This window comes from Homo sapiens, chromosome 4, assembly GCF_000001405.40.
Source record: "Homo sapiens chromosome 4, GRCh38.p14 Primary Assembly".
NCBI lineage: Eukaryota > Metazoa > Chordata > Mammalia > Primates > Hominidae > Homo > Homo sapiens.
In genome coordinates this window covers 113,529,022-113,549,024 of record NC_000004.12, presented here as the reverse complement: position 1 = coordinate 113,549,024, position 20,003 = coordinate 113,529,022, and the positions used below count along the sequence as shown (strand labels likewise).

The window sequence follows — 20,003 nt, the reverse complement described above, 5'->3', positions numbered from 1 at the left end:
GAGATTTTACCTTCTTATACATATTATTTAATTTGTACACTTACAATGAAAACAACACAACTCAAATTGTTTTGTCTGAACATGTCACAAAGTCTATGTTGGATGTCATTTTTGTTAGAACCAAAATTAGCTTTATTCAGCTTTATTTGATTCCAACGTAAAGCTAAAAAAAGTGAAGAAATATAATTTTTGTTTGTTTGTTTGTTTCATTGGGACTTTCATTTTATTTCATATTCAATGTGATTATGTGCCTTTAAAATGTTCTCCCTTCCATTCTGCCCTTGTATCTTTGCAGTCATTGTATACAGCAGATTCTAGAAAGTGTTAATCATTGTCACCTAAATGGCATAGTTCACAGGGACCTGAAGGTCAGTATATGGAGTCCATAAATCTGAATCAAAGCAGTTTTATTTTTTTTTCTGGGGAAAGGGCAGAGGGTGGGTATTTAAAATGGTTCCCTTGCCTTTCCCAACTTGTTTCTAAAATGAGTAAATGATGAAATGATAATGCATGATGCCTCTTCCAGTTTGCTCATCTACAGGCTAAATATACATCATAGCAAAAAGGGAAGAATACTAAAGAATACAACCTGCTAAGTTTCCAAGCAGTAAACTACCTACCAAAAGGGATTGAGGAGCAGGCTTTCTTGAATTGCCCAGCATTTGCCTGGAGATAAACTTGGCCTGTGATGTATGTCCGCCTGTAGATTTTAAACACCACTTCTGTTCTGAGACCATGGGTTGCTGTAGCAGAACAACTGGTTACGCATTGCTCCATTTGAGTCTGATGAACCCTTAGGCAAGAGATATTAATTGCCAGCTAAATTAAAGCACAAGAAGTTAATGATTTATCAAAAATTCATTAGGTATCTTAATTTAACCTTAGTGGTGCCCTGACTGTTAATGTGACAGCTTTTAGAACAATACTGGAAAAATGGGAGAGAAAAGGGAAACAATTTATGTGACGGGGTGGAGGCGGAACACCACAGCTATAAAGATTATATTTGTGTTCCACTTTATTTCCTGGAAGAATTTATAACCAGGAAATGATCTCTTGAATGACATAAAGTGTTTTCAAAATGGATTTTTCTAGAACAAATGGACCCACATTCTGGCTCACATCTGGTAAGATCTGATTGTTCTGAGGTAGTAGTCACTCTACTTGAGCAATATGTTTACATGACTGAAGGTGGTACAATACAACCCCAGTTGTCTGCTAGCTCTGCACTTTAACCCAGTCTCTCTGAGGGTATACAGACAGTGAGTGTAAGCTTGGAACTAACACACGCCCCCTGGTGTTTGCATGCAGTCATTGCATTCAGCAGATCCTGGAGGCTGTGCTACACTGCCATCAGATGGGCGTGGTCCATCGGGACCTGAAGGTGAGTAATGCGGTTGAAGAAGATAAACCACCACACAGTTCCTAATGACTGTTCAGCTGCAATTATGCCTGTAAAGGCAAAAATATGAGCAATAAAGTTGTGTGGACTTATTCCAGCACGTTACTCAGGAACTTTCCCTCACCACAGTCTCTCTTATTTCATCTCTAACACACACTTGAGACATATAAATCTTGATTTATCCAGATAGAAATAACTTCCCAACATTAACAATAAATAGGATGCTATATTTCTTTCCTTGTAAGGATGGATATAGCATTAATGTGACTTTCAGTAGGGTTTGATGATCTTCACTCTAAATTTGTTCTGTGTACATTGATCAAACATTTTATATTCATGTGATATATACCCAATATTATGTAAATACTTAGTAAAATTATAAAGTGTGTAGAGATAAAGTTATTAGGTGAAGTTTTAGCCTAAACGATTATGTGCTAAAGAACCTCATTTTGAATTCTGACATTCTCTTTCCCTTAACATTAGTCCTAGGAATTCTGAGGACACTGAGGCCTCTTAGTTTTTTATTTATTTATATTCCTAAAGACCAAGATAATAGTGTCTTCTAAAACTACAGATGTAAAGAAAGCAAAACAAATTTAATCATCAAATAATATTTATGTAGCAAATATATATGGATATCCCTATATACATATTCTCATTTGAATGCCTACTGATACCCTTAAGACTTCACTCAGCTTCTGATACCCTTGAGGACAGAGAATTTTTAGATCATTTAGAAATGAAATAGCTCACAAGGGGAGTACTTTTTCATTAATTTTCCGTCTCCATTTCCCAGCACTCTAGTTTTACCTGTGGAATTTCAGAAAAATAGTGAAGCCTAGAAATCGAAAAGAAAAACTACTGGATGAGTAAAATAGTAAATGTGAGCACTGTATATAGTTTTGATTCTTTCAAACTCAGCATTTTCTAGGCATTAGGACAAAGGTGACAAAGGATAATTTAGAATGTCTAAAACTATGTGTGTTTAGTGAGAGGACCTAGACTTATTTCTCACGTGCAGACTTTTCTGGTTATAAAAAAAATTATAAATCCATATTTCCAGTCACTTAATGTTCTAGAAGACTATATCTCTAAACCAATTACATGAAGATGTGATTTATAAGCAAAACATTGCCTTAGTTTTCTGCAATCTTTTGATTTCATTTAATTCTGAGAGTTTTAAATATCAAAAGCAAAGGTATGGTTAAGGGCATTTTCTTCTGAAGAGCCAAGATCGGACTGTATATCTGCTAACACTTACCAAATGTACCCATTAGTATAAAGCAAAAGCAGTGTGTTTCTTTGAAAATTCATGTATTTTACAGTCACCTCAAAAATTCTTTACTGGCCATTTACAGACAGAGCCCCTTTTGTTACCTCTCAGAACCCACAGCACTACTTTCCTTTTAAGTGAACATATATGAACATGCACATCATTTGTGCAATTTTTTTTCAGACACTTCTATAAATTTATTATTTGAAACATTTTACTCCATGTTATATAACCATAAGTGGACTTTAAAAGCCAAGTATTAAAAAATGTGAATCCTCTTCCATAACTTTAAAGATATTTTTTGTGGAATCGTAATACAGGACTTCTCTAAACATCTGGAATCAGGTGAGCACTTCAAAGACTGGAACTTTAATAGGACATGGGCTGTGAAGAAAAATATATTCTCTGACGTATGAGCTAACGTCACTAATTAAAAACTTAAGCAGATGATTTTTAGGGAGGCTTACTAGCAAAAGAAATAACTTGCTGCATTCCCCACCAGATTTCTTTAAGGCAGGGAAAGTACTTTTGCTCTCCATTCTTATTCTGATTCTGGGAAAGGACAGAAATGAGCTTTTGAGAGAGCTTGTTATAATTTTTTTAGTTGTTGTCTTAGTTTGTGTCAAATTGCTGACTTGGATGGATTTCAGTTGAGTCTGGTTCTCAGTGCTTGCTTCAGTAGGCCATTTCATAAACACACTGAGAGAGTTCAAAACACGTGCATTAGAGGCAGTTGATGAACCTCTTGAACGTGCCAAATCCCTGCCTTTGTTTTGTGCCTTTTATACCCATGATGTATACTCTGATAAATATATTGCTTGTGATAGCATGTTTACCAATATAGTAAAGTTAAAAAGATCAAGTGCTGAAATTTTTTATTACCAGGCCTTAAACAAAAACTTGCCTTTACTATTCCTATGCTATTTATTTTTGTGTCCATATACTAATTAATATGTTAATTGATGTGCGATAGAAATGTTTGATGCACATAGTTTAATTTGTCCACATCAGTGAGAAAAAGAAACACAGGAAATGTCATGTTTATCATGATCAACAGCACCTATAAGGATATAAGTGCTGTACAATTTGTATATAAGCCCTCTGGAACCATAGCTGTTTAACGTAATGCGATACTCCACAGTACCTAACGTAGGGGCTTATACCTGGCCAATACCTGCAGCATATTCCTTCAATTTAGAAATGAATGAAGGTCAACCAAAAGTACATCTATAATATAAAAGGCAGCATTCAGTAAAATAGCTTATTAAGTGTTCATTAATATTTGAATAACATAAAGAAGATAAGTATATCTTCAGAATAAAGATCACTATTTAGTTGAATAACTGCTGCTCACTGGGGCTCATTAGACAGTGGGAAATTATGAGGACCTATAATCAAGACTGAGGTACAACAGGCAATTTCAGGATGTCCCTGAAACAAGCAATAGGAGAAGAGTCAGGGTGGTGGGATATCAGCATCAAGAAGGTACATCCATCGGCACCAGGCAGAACCTAGTGGATACATGGACCACAGCCTTTTGTCTGAGGTGTGTCCAGTGGCAGGCCAATTAATGTAGATCTAGATAATATTAGGAGGATCTAGTGGTGGTGATAAACAGTACAGTACAGTTCAGGGATAGGACTGCAGTCTTTGGGAGCGTTTGGATCAAGTCAGGGTCTTAATAAGCAAAATGGTAAAAGATGCCATTTATCAAGCAGTTACCATGTACCCTGTGCTGTCTTATCATACAAATCTTCAGAACAACTTTATGAGGAAGGTGCTCTGATCATCCTCATAGTATGTAAACGAAAATTTAGCAACCACAAATGAAAGAACTTAAGATCACTCAACTAGTAAAATATGATTGGTGCCTAAGAAATTTGATTCCAAGTCTGCATGCTTAATAACTACTACTTCTCAATTTAGTTGGTTGGATGAATTAAAAGCCTGTAAAGAGACCAAAGAATGAGTCAAAACGATAGGAAAATAATTTTGCTAGCAACATCCACAATAATTTGTGGAAATGGTTCTAAGTTTAGTGAATCAAAAGGTTAAAATAGTCCTGCCTATGGGTCTTCCAGAGATAAACAAAATCTGTGTCATTGGGAATAAAGAAAATAAGATATAATGTAGAGTAGGGGGCAGTACAATCTGGTAGTAGACAGGTGTATGAAGTAAAACTTTTTCATTTAGAAAATCAGTAAGGTAGCATTGACCACAGCCTTTGGAAAACGAGACAAAGAAGAATAAAATGCATTTGCCACATTTAATTAGTAATTGCCACATGAAGACAATTAGTATTGGGTGCTTAAGGCGGGTGGATCATGAGGTCAGGAGATCGAGACCATCCCGGCTAACATGGTGAAACCCCGTCACTACTAAAAATACAAAAAATTAGCGGGGCGTGGTGGCGGGCGCCTATAGTCCCAGCTACTCGGGAGGCTGAGGCAGGAGAATGGCATGAACCCAGGAGGCGGAGCTTGCAGTGAGCAGAGATCGCCCCACTGCATTCCAGCCTGGGCAACAGAGCGAGACTCTGTCTCAAAAATAAATAAATAAATAAATAAATAAATAAATAAATAAACTTGATAGATAGATAGATTCTTTATGAAGAGCTGAGTGCTGTAACTCAGTGTTGGATATTTGTGAATTGGTGGTTTAAAGTTCAAATACAAAAAGAGAAGAATGAATATTCATCAAACATTCCTTCAGGAACCACGAAGGCATCATTTTAAATGTGAGCATACATTACTGAGCAAAACAAGAACAGACCTTGTGTGCATGAAACCCTGCTGGCCATTGAATTAAGGATCATGTAAAAATATGTATGTAGGCCCGGTGCAGTGGCTTATGCCTGTAATCCAATCACTTTGGGAGACTGAGGCAAGAGGATTGCTTGAGGCCAGGAGTTCAATACCAGCCTGCGCAACATAGCAAGACCCCCCATCCCTACAAAAAAAAAAAAAAAATCAATATATATACATATGTGAAAAGCATATTGATGATGTTCTTCCCAGAAAGGAGGAAGTACCTCAGACAAGTACTGCATTCAGAAAAATATTAGGTCAAAGTGAGGTTGCAGTAACAAATGACAATTTTTAATGTCACAAGAAATAAAGGAATGTCAGATCAGATATATTTTCTCATTTAAGAACCTGGAGAATACAATTTCTATGACTTAGTTGACAGAATAAGTAAAGGAGATAGTTATAAAGCTATGCTTTTTCAAATAACTGTGTTTGAAACAAGGTAGTAAGATTTCTGCAGTTCAAATGTACCCGAAATGGTTACTAAACTATTTCATGAACAACAATCTGGATAGGAGGCTTTATACACACAACTGAATCTTTTAGCAACAAATTAACACCCTATGAATTGCCTCGGCAGAGAATGCTGCCTTTACTATTAGCCCCTATTCAGAAGAACATTACTTAATGGAAATGTCATTGGACGGATGGATAGATGAATATGAGAGAGAGAGAAAGAGAGAGATTTTAATGAAGAGAATTTGGAGATGTGATGGGAACTTTAAGGCTGTTTCATAGGAATAAATTAAATTTATGACCAAAGTAGAAAGGAATTAGTTTTCAGGGAAGGGGGGAGATGAGAAGTACTTAGTAAATTTTTTTTTTTTTTTTGAGACGGAATCTCGCTCTGTTGCCCAGGCTGGAGGGCAGTGGCGCGATCTCAGCTCACTGCAAGCTCCGCCTCCCTGGTTCATGCCATTCTCCTGCCTCAGCCTCCCGAGTAGCTGGGACTACAGGCGCCCGCCACCATGCCCGATTAATTTTTTGTATTTTTAGTAGAAACAGGGTTTCACTGTGTTAGCCAGGATGGTGTTGATCTCCTGACCTCGTGATCCGCCCGTCTCGGCCTCCCAAAGTGCTGGGATTACACGCACGAGCCACAGCGCCCGGCCAGTAAATTCTTGTTAACCATGGGTAGTAGATATATCAACCTGTGAAATTTATATTTTGGATAATTATAAAATCACAAGTATTATACTTTTCTCAGAGCTATGTTTAGATAAAAGTTTAAGGAACACATCATCTGTGTATGTATATTTAGATATTTTTGAAACAAAGTATGTATTTGATAAATTTAATAATTCATTTAGCCATTCCAGTATTTCTTTGTTGAGTGCCTAGTGTTTGTCAGGCAGTGGAGAAGCTGTGGGTAATTGGCACTCTCCCACTGCAGTTAGTTACACTCTGGTTCTTTCAGTCTACCCAGCAGTGTGTGCTGATAATGTGGAAGTAAATGAATAAACAGGAATGGAATACAGAAGGATTCTTATGAACTTGCTCATATATGCATAGCAATAGAAAGAGTACTTCCTAATTGCAAACTTATAGCACATACATCTGCTAGAAACTCCTTGTGCTAAGTACATGAATTCAGGCATTAATTCCACACAAAAATAAAAGCTAAAATCCCTTGTACCATGTATACAAATGAGACAAGTGAGCTTGACATTCAAGCTTTTCAATTCATGCAAAACTAAAAAAAAAAGAAATAGTTTATATTGGGGAGCTTCATTTGCACCTTCTTTGGCAAAAGATAAGTGACAGAAAACATGCCAAGCAGAGGATGGTTTTCTGTTAAAAGAGTGAGATTCTCCAATAGAGGAAAGAAATTTTAAAAGACAAATTTTTAGTCCTTAAAAAATAATATCCAAAGGAATTTAAGAATTAAATAATATGGGATAATAAAATTAGTAATTTGCTCTTTTTATAATATTCAAAAATTTAAAAACAAGTAAAACACACATGATTTTACATATATATTCCTAATGGTTGAGTCTTTTAGATGGCACATCTTCTAGATGTGCACAAATAAAAGCCTGATATGGTTAATGCTAAAGGCTATTGCCTTTGCCAAATCAATTTATTAATAAAGATTATGATAATTGGTAAAGCAAGGTTAAAACTATGTTTTTTTCATAAGTTTTGGATATGGGTAGTAAATATTTTTGAGTACTTCAAATTCTTCTAAAAACATCTGCTGAATGGACTACCTTTTAAAAATAACTTTTTATACAATTGGTGGAGCTTCTTTAGTATCACGTCTTTAAAAGGAAGGAATTAGAAAATCTAGCTTCAGGTCTCAGCTTCATCTTTTTGGGCCTCCCTACCTCATGTAGAAACGGAAAGGTTTGAGTTATTTTATCTCCCAAGTCTCTTCCAGTTCTGAAAGTGATTCCATCAACCTGCCTATGTACTTTGAGTCATTTGAACAGTTTCAAGAAAACTTTGAATCATATTGAAAGAAATTGCCATTGTATTCATATGAAAGTACAGAACAAAACTTGGAAACAGTTGCTGCTCATTACAGCTGATATGCTATAAATGGTTGTTGACACTGAGACCAGATGTCATGGAAAATCCTGCATCATTAGGAAGCAGTGGGGGTGGGGAAGGAACCTATGTGTAAGAATGTCTGTGCACTCTATTTAAAAACCAACCTAGAAAGGGATTGCATTATAAGAATCTAAAGATCCTCTCAATATATAAAGAGTAACATAATAGATTGCATTAAGTTGGCATCATTAAAAAAGACATTCCTCAAGTTACAAATATTAAATGTTCTGCACATTGAAATGACCAGCTGCACTGGAATGTAGTAGCTAATCACTAATGTGTATGTTGTCACCACAGAGGACAGAGCTCCTATGATAAAATCCAGTGTGATTTTATTGTTTCATAGAAACTGTTGTGAGATATAATTTAGTACCCTTATAATGTTCATTTGAGAGATTAAGGAACTAATTAATTAGCTCCAGGCATTTGTGAGTTGCCCAAGTCCATATAGGTAATAACAGTTAGGGCCAGGACATGAACCCAGGTCTTCGCATTCTTTCTAGATCATCACCCTGCCTGTTTCTCTTACAATGCTGTGGTCCATAGTCAGCTAGCTACATTAGAAGACCTGGGTTTCTGATCTCACCTGTCTGATTCGTGTTAGAAAATAGAAAATCAAAATAGTGGAATAGTAGCAAATAATTGTGTAGTGGTGCTCCTGTCTAAGGAGGTAATCATTAATTAGGTGAGAAATACTACCCTTTCAGCTTGGGTAAACTATATTTGCAAATTATCTTCCTTTCTGTAGGCATTCAGAATTTAACCTTGTCAACAAAATTTTGTAGTACAATATATTTTTAACTTGGAAGCTATATGAGTGGTAGTAATTCAGGAAAATTAGAATAAATGTGCTTGCCCTGATTAAAATGTTGCTTTAGAAAGTCTTAGTGATTAAGCCTCCCACACAATCACAGAACATGATAGGAGGATTATTCAAACTAATATATACCAAACAGTTATATAGAAATCAAACTTGTGTGATTATTTTTAATGTTTCATTGGAGCTGCCCTTTAAAGCAATCTTGTGATGAAATATTAAAAAGTGAATAATCCCTTAAACTCATCATCCTAAATTTTTTAGTTTTCATTATATAATTTCATTTTAGAGCCTAAATTTTAGTAATCATCCTAATTTTTACATTTTCGTTATATAATTCTGTATTTTAGGTTTGCCTAAAGATATACATAAACATGAAATCATGTTAGTCTCTTAATTGTTACATCTACACAGTCACCTTCAAATAACCCTGCCTTTTCTTCTACATAACTGCAGCTGAACAGTCTTCATGAGTATAAGGTGCAACTCTGGTCCAGATGGATTTACTATTTTCTGGATGACTCACAAAGGCCCTACAGTGAGGTCTTCGTTAGTTATGAGTATTTGCCCCAGTCATTCAGAGGATATGCATGATAAAACTCTAAGATGTTCCATTTCTTCTGAATCGGCAGATACTTGGTGCTTGAGGCACAATGCACACAAGCCCTGCCCAACAGCTTTTTCATTTAGTGATAAGAGTGAAAACACACTCAATTTTTTAAAAGGTTATTTACCAGTTACGCTGACAGTTGCTCAACAAACTTATCACCTGACTTCAAACACCTAAAATGTGATTTCTAAAGTGATTGGAACTCTTTTTTTGAATGAGTCTGTGGTTAACAAATTAGGACAGATGTGTATTAACAGAAATCTCTGACATGCCAGTGCTTTTGAAAGTGAAGAAAGAATTAGAATCAACCATTGCTTACAGTTTGATGAGCTTTTTCCAAGTTAATTATTCCATGAGTTAATAGTTGGAACTTAACTTCTTGATCAGATTAGGAAATGCATGAATGTGGTAGACCATAAATTTTCATTGCAAAAATAAAATGTCAAATTAAAATAATTTAACATGTGTAGATACTATAGTATATTGATAAAGTTCCAAATAATTTCAAGTGTTAGGTTTTACTAAAAGTCATTTCAGCATAAAAGTCTTTTATATTCTTGAGATATCTTTATCCCATACTCCAAATTAAATTACGTATTTAGTGTTGAGGTGGTTAAAAATCCCTATCAGCCCCACAAAATTAGAAAAGTTTTCTCACATTTACCGGTCGTCATAATAGCGATGAATCTGATGGCAGTGAGCAACAATAGCCTGAAGAAGTCTGGTACTTGATTAAAACTTACTCGCCAACACTCTAATTTCTTGTAGATTTAACCTAATTTCTTCCAAGTTCTGGTTATGGGTCTTTGCTAATTTGCATGGCTGGCTTAATTAATAAATTAGATACTGGTTTAGGCTGTGTTTACACAAGGTCAAAACTACCAACAGAATTGACAAATTCAGTGGGAAAAATTTAGCCAATTTGATTTTTAAAGCATGACATTACTTGTTTATTAACATATAAACAAAATGAATTTGATTGACTGAATTTTTAGATTTTCAGACAATCGTTTTGGCATTTGTAGAGTCCATTGTTTCCCAACTTTTTTCAGTCTGAGACACACCTCTAAATTTGCTGGGTTTTGTCCCCAAACCACTCTCCCATATACATTCTAACCCAATATATTTATCGAGTTTGGGGTTGTATATCCTTAACTGTATATATTAATCAGTCTCCTTTTCCTGATCATCTTCATTTCTTAAAATCCACAAAGGCGATTCATGGAAATTGAAGACTGTTCCCTGGTGCTTATTTTCAAAGTACTGATGTGTCTTGATGCATTGGTTGGGAAACAGTGGTATAGACACAGCCTTATTCCAAGACTGAGTTATCAGCCCTTGCATAATGATAAGTACCCAAGAAAATAAAAATATATCTTTCTCATAGTACTCTGAGATGGAAAAATAAATATATAAGTAATGCTCTGAATCACGCTTTGAAGAAATGTAAATTATGTTTTAAAAGCTGGCTTATAAAGAAAAAAAAAAGCTGACTATAACATTTGGCAAATAGTAGTATACTCTTTCTGCCTTTAAGAATAAACAGATTCTTAAAGACAGCAATTTTAATACATAATTCAGAGTAAGTCTCCAAAATTTGTACCAAAATTGTTTGGAAACATTGAGGAATCAAAATCACTACATTTGGGTCCAAACTCTTGAAGTTAACTAGGATTTAATTTGCACAGTTTCATTTGCCAAATGTCTGTAGATTGGTCCAACTCTTGTTATTATTTTGCCAAGTTTCCTTCTGCTGAAAATGTCTGCTCTGTTAGGCTTCTAAGTCAATGTCCGTGGCCAAGTCTGAATCCTGAGCAGTCCTTGGAAACATGTGAGCAGGTCAAGACAGGTGCTCTCATTCATTTGATCCCTCCCCAAGTGTATTCTCTCTTCTACCCAGTATCTCTCTAGGACAGTTATGCATCTGTCTGAAGCCTGCACACATGATAATATTTAATCATTTTCTAACTGTATTTTCCCTGGGATTTAGGAATGGCAGTCTCCAGGAAAGATGACAGTGCATGAATTTTTTCCCCCTAATCCTGTAAAATGTTGTTAGTTTTGAATAGTCGCTTAAAATAGGTTCTCACTTCAGTCTCTTTTTTTTTCTTTCTAAATAAAGCCTGAGAATTTGCTTTTAGCTAGCAAATCCAAGGGAGCAGCTGTGAAATTGGCAGACTTTGGCTTAGCCATAGAAGTTCAAGGGGACCAGCAGGCGTGGTTTGGTGAGTAGGGCCCCCTCCTTCATGCTACCTATAGTCTTCTGGCTTCTGAATTCTGGCTCCTAATCCCACTTCCTAGTGAAAATAAAATGGAAAACTTCATCCTAATAACAATTTGACTAATTTTTAGATATTGTGCCTTTATAAGCATTTAATTTTGTTGACATAAAAGGTTATATAATCTAGAAATAATTCAAGGGAAAATATTAATGGGAGAACAAGAAGACATACACTTTTTTCTTCAAAGGATGATTGAGAAAGTACATTATTTAGTAAGCATTAATTAGAGGATTACAACATTCAAAGAGTACTTTTTTTATTTGAAAGAAAGTTGATTGTTTGCATACAACCTCATATGATGCCAAAAACTGCTGTGTAAATAGTAGATGCTCAAGAAACACAGGATATTTCACATATAATACTTTATGATTTATGATTTAAAGATTGTTTAAAAATTATGAAGCATCTATTTATGTGTATATTTCACCTTAGTTATTTTGTATGTCTTCAACATGCCAGTTTCCTCTCAAAAATTCTGATAATTTAGAAATTTTTATATGATGAAATTTCTGCTTCTTTACAATTAAGGAAGAAATTAACTCTAAATAAATTTAAATTATAGTATTTCTAACCAGACTTATGTTTTGTTTCAATATTCAGTCTGAATAAATTATTTACTCATTAATTTTCATATGCCTCTCTCTGCCATTTTCCAATATCCAACCCACTTCCCATGTATAGTTCCAAAAATATAACCTCTCCCCAAGCCTGTCTTGTCTTCTGACTTTCGGTGTGTTGAGGTTAGATAATTGTTTTAATGCCCTTCATTTCTGATTTATTTTCCTCTGAGCAACAACAACAAATAGAGGACTAAAAACATGCTATTTCTTTGTTTTATATGCAAATACTTTTCTGAGTCCCTAATGTACACATCTCCCAAGATGTACATATGGCTCCCAGGATTCACCACATCTCCCTTTTCTGCCCCAGCTGTTACTGGGAGTGGAGGGTGTGCCAAGCCTCCCTGGCAGCCTAATGCAGGACCTCAGTTCCTGCTGCCTGTCCTTTTTCAGTAGTACCTGACAGTTATTCTTGGTTGAAGTCTCTCTCATGTTTAATATTATCTTTTACATTATCTTTTTACCCTCCAATCCTAGATGAATTTAATACCTCCAAACTTGTCATTCTGTTTATAATATTTTAACTTTTTAATAAGCTTGTACCCATTAACTGCAAACTGAACGAAGGTAGGGCCTAGATTAGGTCTGTAAATTAGAGATTCAGATGATCTCTGTATCCTGGAAAAGAGTACAATTAACACAGAAAGAATATATTGTAACAGGAGTTAAGGGTTGAACAGGAAGTAGTGGGGCTATCACAGAGATGGGCAAAGCAAATACTAGAGATACATAAATTAAGTAGGAAGTCCTGACCCTGGAGGAGCTAAGGCTTTTGTATCTATAACTATTTACCATTCAGGGTGGAAGTATCTTAACATAGGAATGTATGAGGTGCTGTGGGAACACAAGACAGGAAGTACAAAAACCTGCCTCTGGAGAGAGGTTCAATAATTGCCTTAACACTTATGGTTGCCTAAAGGATGAATGGGACTTTGCTCACTGTCATGCAAGAAGATTAAGGCATTCCAGACAGAGGGATCTGCACATGGAAAGGCTCAGAGGCATGAAACTATTTTTTCTATTACAGTAAAACAAGAAGTTTGATAAAGCTAAAGTATACTCGAGTGAGTAGTAGTTAATGAGGCAGGAAATGATTTTATGTTTTTTTGAAGGATTTGGATTTCACCTTAGAGATTTTGGGATCTGGTGAAACATTTTTAGAAGAGAGGGACATAACTGGGTGTATGTTGTTTAATAATGATTCCAGTAGAAGTATAGAAGATGATTTAAGCATAGTTAATCTGCAAGCAAGGACCCAGTTAGACTAAAACAATCGTTCAAATTATGCATGATGATAGCGTTGACTAGGGAGGGTGTAGGAGCAAGCAAGTTCCAAATAACATACAGATCAGACAGGAAATATGAACTCTAAGGGAATCTGTTTAGGAAACATGAAAGTCCCAGACATTGGGTTCAAAGACAGGACTCGAGTCCTGTGTAGAGCAAAGCAGGACCCCACTTCATGAGAGACTTGGGGTATGAGGCAGGATACAAAAATGGGAACTTAGGCCCAGGGATATAATTGCCAGAAATTGGTAAAGATGATGATAGGATATCAGGAATAAGACAAGCCTTTGTTATCAGGTCTGAGGCTCAAATTAGCATCAGCAGCTATGTTTGATGATTACAAGAATGTTGGAATCAAGCTCCTTAAATCTCGTCTGTTTTTGAGCTTAATGTTTTATCTCCTCTGCTATGACACATATAGTTTGAGAGCAGGGCTATGTGTAGTGGAAAAAATTTTACTTTATGAATCAGAATATATGAATTTATATCTTGGCTCTGATTCTTAACAGCTGTATGATATTGAGCAAGTCACTTTAAATCTGTGAGGTCACTATCCTCTTTGTAAATGGGATAATAAACACTTCTTCACAGGACTGTTATAAGATTGAGTGAAATAGTCCATAGAAACTTGATTGAGCTATAAAGGATGTTCAATAAGTTTTCAAAATTGTCTTGGTGTGAAACAATGACATAATTCTTTGCATATTCAGTGAGAGTTGTTTAGTGAATCAGTGAGTAGAGGACTGAATATCAGGTCAGTAAAAGCAATAGCATCCAAATAAAAGTACATAGATTTTCAAATTGTTACTGATTTCTAAAAACAAGCTGGTCCCAAAGAAGCAGTGACAGCTCAGCAATAAAATTTCCACTTCATCAGCATGGTGCTATCAGCAATTAAGTTATTGTTAAGGTACCTGTTAGAGTAATAACTTTTAAAAGAAGCAACATCTTAAGTTCTAAGGCAATTCAGTATTTCAGAAGTACAGAAAAACAGAGTGTCTAAACTTGGGAGAATATACTTCTTTTTTCTCTTTCTTTTTCTTTTCTCAAGTTCAAGCGAATCTTCATGGTAATCTGAGAAAAAAGGAGATGTGGTGTTCTACGTTTCTTTCAGATGAGCTGCCAGATATATTTTAAGTATTAGGAGTAAAGGCATGTTTTAATAATGAATGACCTGTTTTGATGTTTATTCATTATGATCTGCCATTATAGTCCCATATATTTTTACTGATTAATTTTATCTTTCAAAATGTAATATCAGTGTTTATGGAGGAAAAGCTTTGTTATTTTAATTTTGATAAAGAGCAGGACTCTTTCTTCATTATGTGGAATACCAGAGCTTCAGGCTTTTACATAATTTTATTTTAATAAATATACGAGGTCCATTACAAATAAGAAAAAACATAGTATGTATACGAAACAACATAATAGATAATACAAAGCATTATGGAAGCTGTTTATTGTTTTTTTTTTAATTATCATTTTTCAAGTCCCAACTTGTTTGTTTTTTCCCATATTTACTTTTCATTTTCTAGTCTGGTCTGTTGGAATACTAGCCAAAACTGGTAGAAGTAAACACCCTGTCACTATACTTGATAAGATGGCTAGAAAATTTACCAAAAAGAAATATTCAAATATATTCTGTTTCTCTTATGGAACTGGACATGTTATTTGCAATACATTTCTAGCATTTTGTTGCTGCTAGAAAAAAAAAAGATAACTACCAAGATCTTGGTTCATGGAAGAATTATTTTGCTTTGTTGCTGTTATGTCTCTTTTTTATGATATTAAGGTTCTTTTTATGCCAATGTGTTACAATGGATACATTTCCAACAGTCAGTAATTCTCTTTTCTCTTTGTGTTATCTATTTTGATTTTCTTATTGGTTTTTCAAAGTAAGAAACATATGCTATCCCTAAAAAAGGCAAGCTCTCATTACTTTTTCTATTGATGGCATGTAGTATGATAATCCTAGATTCTTGCAAGTTTAATTTCCCACAGAGAAGGTCTTCTCTATTTTACCCCCCATATGTCTGTATTTATGAGGTCACATTGTACCGTACATTCTTTCCTAACGTCCATGCATTTAGATATATGCTTCAATATTCTTGGGGTAAGGACCCCATTGACTGCTCAAATGATGGTTGTAACTAAATAAGAATGAGCATGCTGGTATTCTCTTAGAATTTTAGTCTCCAGAAGAGGTTTGTAATAATTTATATTTTAAATGATCTTTTCATTTCTTCCTCACATAGTAACTTACTTCCCTATCTTAGGGAAGCTTAGGAGAGGTATTGTTAACATTTCGTACTTCTGGCCATGTATTCTAAGTTATTGAAATCATACATTATTAAAGTTTACTGATTTAGACAGAAGAGTACAGATTGTATATAAAAGAGTCATTGAAATTCAGGGTGAGAAGGGACCACCGAGAACTGTAGGTAACTAAGGAGAGCTCTAAGATGGAAATAACTTAGAGCCACTCTCTGTTAGAAAAGAGGTAGAGAAAAAATATTGAGGATTCAAGGAACAGAAAAAGTAGTATCAAGGGTGACACTGAGAAGGCCATTTTTAAAAGACCTTAAAGAGATTAGTCAGGTCAAGGGCTCAGAAGGAGAATGAAATCATGTTGAATGAATGAAGTGTAGCCGGATGATAAAGGATCTGAAAGTGCACACTAAGAACATTGGATGTAATCTGGACATTAGCATCGATTTCTCACTGGAGTCTCATTGCCTGTCAACTCTAGAGAAGTTGGAGAAGGATGGTGAGAGTGGAGGGGACAGAAGTGCTGGCAAACTCTTTAAAACAATTGTGTCCATCTCTACCTTGGAATTCACAGAGTGCATATCACTCCTTGAGGAAATCTTCAAGCTTTAGGCAGTGGAACCACCATTATTGCTCAGTAATTCTCTGTACCTCACAACTACCAACCAAATATTTATTTCAAGTCGAGTTTGAGGTACAGATGGATTACCCAGGGTCCATTTGAAGCTTAAATTGCAACATACAGGTCTTTTCTTGGAATCCCTTCTCATTGTCTATCCAATCTTCCCCCAAAACAAACAGAAAAAGAAGAATGGTAATAGAAAAGAAAAAAGATTAAGTGCAAAGTTTTTTTCCTCATTTTCTTTTTTGTTCAGAGAAGTAACTGTGTTGTATATATTGTCTTTTAATACCTCTTTGCATGTTGTTTGTACTTAATAAGTATAAATTTGTCACAGAAATGGGGAAAAAGTTTCTTTCTTGGACACTTTGCATTTCAATAAGTATACAGTGTGTTTCATCAGTGATCTGTGGTTGGAGAAATTCCATTATATATACTTTTAAAAAGTTTTTTTTAGTTTATTTGTGCTTTTAAAGAAAACTTCCAAATGAGGATAGTTATTTTTAGTATGTTTCAAGTAAACATTTTTATTTAAAAAACTGTTATTTTCAGAAATAAATATTTTACTCTAGATTCTAGCTATAAATTGTTTCTAAGTGTAACTTATTGAATTCTATACCAATATGTATAATATGAAGTTTTCTTTCCCCATCTAGTTTTTCTTACCACATCCCTTCTTAAGTCGAATGTCTAGTTGATACTTGTTCAGTAGTGATTCATCTGAATATTCCTGCATCTTCTCTTTAGTTGCCAGTTACAAGTACATACTGATTATTTAACAGTACACAGTGAGCTCTGTGATATATTTTCGACTTATATCTTCTCCTGGTGAGTTCTTCTCCATATTTCTTTTCAGGTGTAGTTTTAACTCCCATATACATAAAGGACAATAAGAATTGCTAACCAAAAGTGGCCTTAAGTATACACAGTGACTTTGCAGCATAGTAGATTGGCCTTCATATCTGGAAAAAAAGATGTATTTTTTTTCAAATGAGTTACAGGGCAGGGCATACTAGTGTTGATATTTCTATAAAGAGAAAGTCTACACTATTTATTGCTCTGAGAACCTTGTTGTGTTTTGAAAAACATATAATCAGATAAAGAAGCCCCCGATATTTTTCTTTCTTAGTTTCCCATTTCATATTGTTTTGTCAAATCAACTGTGACTCATTAACATCTCTTTTCCCTAGGTTTTGCTGGCACACCTGGATATCTTTCTCCAGAAGTTTTACGTAAAGATCCTTATGGAAAGCCAGTGGATATGTGGGCATGTGGTAAGCAATTATATTTTGAAGCAAATTTTGTGATAAGCTAGTGTCTTAGTCCATTTGGTCTGCTATAACAATCTGTCATAGACCAAGTGGGTTAAATAACAAAAATGTATTTCTTATTTATTTATTTATTTTGATACAGTGTCTTGCTCTGTCGCCCAGGCTGGAGTGCAGTGGTACAATCCCGGCTCACTGCAACCTCTGCCTCCCAGGTTTAAGCAATTCTCCTGCCTCAGCCTCCTGAGTTGCTGGGATTACAGGCACGTGCAACCATGCATGGCTAATTTCTGTATTTTTAGTAGAGACAGGGTTTCACCATGATGGCCAGGCTGGTCTTGAACTCCTGCCTCAGGTGATCCACCTGCCTCAGCCTCTCAAAGTGCTGGGATTACAGGTGTGAGCCAGCATGCCTGGCCACAAAAATTTATTTCTCACAGTTGTGAAGGCTGGGAAATTCAAAATCAAGGTGCCAGGAGATTCGGTGTCTGGTGAGGGCCTGCTTTTAGTTTTATAGAGAGTTATCCTCTCTTTGTGTCTTCACATGGCAGAAACAGAGAGGGGGCTCCCAGGGTCTCTTTTATAAGAGCATTAATCCCATTCATGAGGCCTCCATCCTACCAAAGACCTCACTTTCCTTCCTTCCATCATATTAGGAGTTAGGATTTTAACACATGCATTTTATGAGGGACACAAATATTGTCTATAACAACCACAATTTTTATAATTTAAAATACAAGTTGAACATCCCTAATCAAAAAATCTGAAATTTAAAATGCTTCCAAAATCCAAAACGTTTTGAGTGCCAACGTTGATTGCCACATGTGGAAAATTCTGCACCTGACCTCATGTGATGGGTTGCAGTCAGACACAGTCCAAACTTTATCTTATGCTAAAAAATATTTAAAATATTTCATAAAATTACCTTCAGGCTATGTGTTTAGATGTGTATAAAACATAAATGAATTTCATGTTTAGACATGGGTCTCATCCCCAAGATATCTTATTATGTATGTATAAATACTACAAAATCTGAAAAAATCCAAAATCTGAAACATTTCTGGTCCTTAGCATTTTGGATAAGGGATACTCACCCTGTAATATCTTTTAAATTTGAAGTTGATATTCTCTAGTGATCGACTTACAGTAGAAGTTCTCAAACCTCAGTCTACAGCAAGATTACATGGACAGCTGTTTAAATGACAGATTGCTGTGTTTCTGATTCAGTATATCCAGGATAGAAACTTTTACCTTTTTAACAAACTCTCAGGTGATGCTAATGCTGCCATTTTCTGGAACACTTTGATAACAGGGATGTGGAGCATTGCTCCTAGTGGTTATGTATTTATGCTGCTATCTTCTCAATGGATCCAGCCAGTCCTTCCAATAAGTATTATGTTTGCCCATGATACTTGGCAGAGTTTAAGAGTGAACTAGTAAATATTGGAAAATAATGAAATTGACCATCCCGAGGGGACAGAAGTCTGATTTAGGCCTCTATCAGCCAACTCAAATCAAAAACAGTATCCTATGCAGGCCCAAAGACATATAATGGGGAGGATTTTCACCCACAGTTTTTATAATGGAATTTTTATGTTTCAACATATATTTTGAATACAGGAAAGACTGAAAGAATGCTGCAACATTACCCTACTAAGATTATCAACATAATCACCTAAATTCCTGATACTATGTCATTGCTACCAGCCTACAAGTAGATACCTAACTATCATAGTTTGGCTTTAGTGTGCTGCAGACAGATTTCAGTGCCTTTGGTGTTTGTCAGCAAGCTTGGAAAAGTTGATTTAAAAAACTTTACTTGATTCTGAAAATAATTTTTTAGACTTGTTTTAGTTTAAAAAGTTAATAAATTCATCATCACTACTTTATAGTGATAGGCTGTTCCTCACTATATTTCTTGTCAGCTTTACCTCTTTGGTAACAACTTGATGTTTGATCTTAAACTGATTGAATCTTGGGCTTTCAGAGTTACCTCCATGCCTGGGAAGGCAGTGGTAAAATAGGGCACTATATTTATAGTTTCAACCCCTGGGGTTCAGTCTTTACGTTTTACCTACTAACCCAGTCTCTTTAATATATCTGAGTTGGTTTCTTTACCTGTAAAATAGGAATATGTTACCCTCATTGAATTGTAGGAGGGTCAAATGCAGTGCACTTTAAAGGAAGACAATTGACAATT

At 35.3% G+C, this 20,003-nt stretch overlaps 1 protein-coding gene across 54 annotated transcripts in view, besides 2 other annotated features; it reads left to right on the top strand.

Annotated features, from left to right (window-relative positions):
- Positions 1-20,003, top strand: part of CAMK2D (calcium/calmodulin dependent protein kinase II delta) — a 310,707-nt gene that overhangs the window by 212,714 nt on the left and 77,990 nt on the right. For 34 of the 54 annotated variants that reach the window (NM_001321576.2, NM_001321574.2, NM_001396967.1 and 31 more), the window contains 3 exons: positions 296-368; positions 11,582-11,684; positions 17,726-17,809. In NM_001321576.2, coding sequence (NP_001308505.1) covers positions 296-368; positions 11,582-11,684; positions 17,726-17,809 — 260 coding nt within the window. Of the gene's footprint in view, positions 1-295; positions 369-1,308; positions 1,382-11,581; positions 11,685-17,725; positions 17,810-20,003 lie in introns of those variants that run through there. The other 20 variants (NM_001321577.2, XM_017008674.3, NM_001399855.1 and 17 more) reach the window with 4 other exon arrangements.
- Positions 1,113-1,202: a silencer, noted in NCBI's record as "silent region_15645". NCBI's record gives its function as "represses an Ori minimal core promoter by ATAC-STARR-seq in GM12878 lymphoblastoid cells {active_cell/tissue: GM12878}" and the evidence as "EXISTENCE:reporter gene assay evidence [ECO:0000049][PMID:35858748]".
- Positions 1,213-1,382: a silencer, noted in NCBI's record as "silent region_15644". NCBI's record gives its function as "represses an Ori minimal core promoter by ATAC-STARR-seq in GM12878 lymphoblastoid cells {active_cell/tissue: GM12878}" and the evidence as "EXISTENCE:reporter gene assay evidence [ECO:0000049][PMID:35858748]".